The 2,016-nt window shown below is 44.5% G+C and overlaps 1 pseudogene; it reads left to right on the forward strand.

Moving 5' to 3' along the window:
• Positions 769-2,016, forward strand: LOC285591 (inorganic pyrophosphatase 1 pseudogene; annotated as a pseudogene).

Genomic DNA, 2,016 nt, shown 5'->3' on the forward strand with positions numbered 1-2,016 from the left:
AATCCCAGCACTTTGGGAGACCGAGGCAGAAGGATCATGAGGGCAGGAGATCAAGACCATCCTGGCTAACACGGTGAAACCCCATCTCCACTAAAAAAAAAAAAAAAAATACAAAAAAATTAGTCGGGCGTGGTGGCGGGCGCCTGTAGTCCCAGCTATTCAGGAGGCTGAGGCAGGAGAATAGCGTGAACCCGGGAAGCGGAGCTTGCAGTGAGCCGAGATCACACCACTGCACTCCAGCCTGGGTGACACAGCGAGACTCTGTCTAAAAAAAAAAAAGAGGCCAGGCGCAGTGGCTCACGCCTGTAATTCCAGCACTCTGGGAGGCCGAGGTGGGCGGATCACGAGGTCAGGAGATCGAGACCATCCTGGCTAACACGGTGAAACCCCGTCTCTACTAAAAATACAAAAAAAAATTAGCTGGGGATGGTGGTGGGTGCCTGTAGTCCCACCTACTCGGGAGGCTGAGGCAGGAGAATGGCATGAACCTGGGAGGCGGAGCTTGCAGTGAGCCAAGAGTGCACAACTGCACTCCAGCCTGGGCGACAGAGCGAGACTCCGTCTCAAAAAAAAAAAAAAAAAAAAACCAAAAAAAAAAAAAAAACACTAAATCAACCACTTTCCAATTTATTCTTGGCAAGGGTGGCTAGTTCTAGAATAGGCTTTTAAAGGTCTCATCTTATGCAGCAGATGATGTCTGAATCTTGTGAAGTTGTGTGTAATTTAGGATTCTCTGTATGCCGACTTATTTCTTGAAATGGGAGAGGCTGTCAGTCGGCGCCACATGTGGGCTGGTGGCTCTGTGGCAGTGGTGGCGGCTGGACTCCGGCACCATGAGCGGCTTCAGCACTGAGGAGCGCGCCACGCCCTTCTCCCTGAAGTACCGAGTCTTCCTCAAAAATGAGAAAGGACAATATATGTCTCCATTTCAAGATATTCCAATTTATGCAGATAAGGATGTGTTCCACGTGGTAGTTGAAGTACCACTGTGGTCTAATGCAAAAATGGAGGTTGCTACAAAGGACCCTTTAAACCCCATTAAACAAGATGTGAAAAAAAGAAAACTTCGCTATGTTGCGAATTTGTTCCCGTATAAAGGATATGTCTGGAACTATGGTGCCATCCCTCAGACTTGGGAAGACCCAGGGCACAATGATAAACATACTGGCTGTTGTGGTGACAATGACCCAATTGATGTGTGTGAAATTGGAAGCAAGGTATGTGCAAGAGGTGAAATAATTGGTGTGAAAGTTCTAGGCATATTGGCTATGATTGACGAAGGGGAAACCGACTGGAAAGTCATTGCCATTAATATGGATGATCCTGATGCAGGCAATTATACTGATATCAGTGATGTCAAACGGCTGAAACCCGGCTACTTAGAGGCTACTGTGGACTGGTTTAGAAGGTATAAGGTTCCTGATGGAAAACCAGAAAATGAGTTTGTTTTAATGCAGAATTTGAAGATAAGGACTTTGCAATTGATATTATTAAAAGCACTCATGACCATTGGAAAGCATTAGTGACTAAGAAAATGAATGGAAAAGGAATCAGCTGCATGAACAAAACTGTGTCTGAGAGCCTGTTCAAGTGTGATCCTGATGCTGCCAGAGCCATTGTGGATGCTTTACCACCACCCTGTGAATCTGCCTGCACAGTACCAACAGACGTGGATACGTGGTTCCATCACCAGAAGAACTAATGGGATTTCTCTGGAATACAAGCTGATATTGCTGCATCGTGTTCATCTGGATGTATTAGATGTAAAATAGTAGCTTTTCAAAGCTTTAAATGTGTAGAACTCATCTAAGTAAATTCTGCTGTGACCAATCCCATGTACTCAGAACATTACCCATCTAAAGCATTTTTCATATCTCAACTAAGATAACTTTCAGCACGTGCTTAAATATCAAGGCAGTTGTCATTTGGAAGTCACTTGTGAATAGATGTGCAAGGGGAGCACATATTGGATGTATATGTTACCATATGTTAGGAAATAAAATTATTTTGCTTAAA

The sequence above is a fragment of the Homo sapiens genome, chromosome 5, assembly GCF_000001405.40.
Source record: "Homo sapiens chromosome 5, GRCh38.p14 Primary Assembly".
NCBI classification, from domain to species: Eukaryota; Metazoa; Chordata; class Mammalia; order Primates; family Hominidae; genus Homo; species Homo sapiens.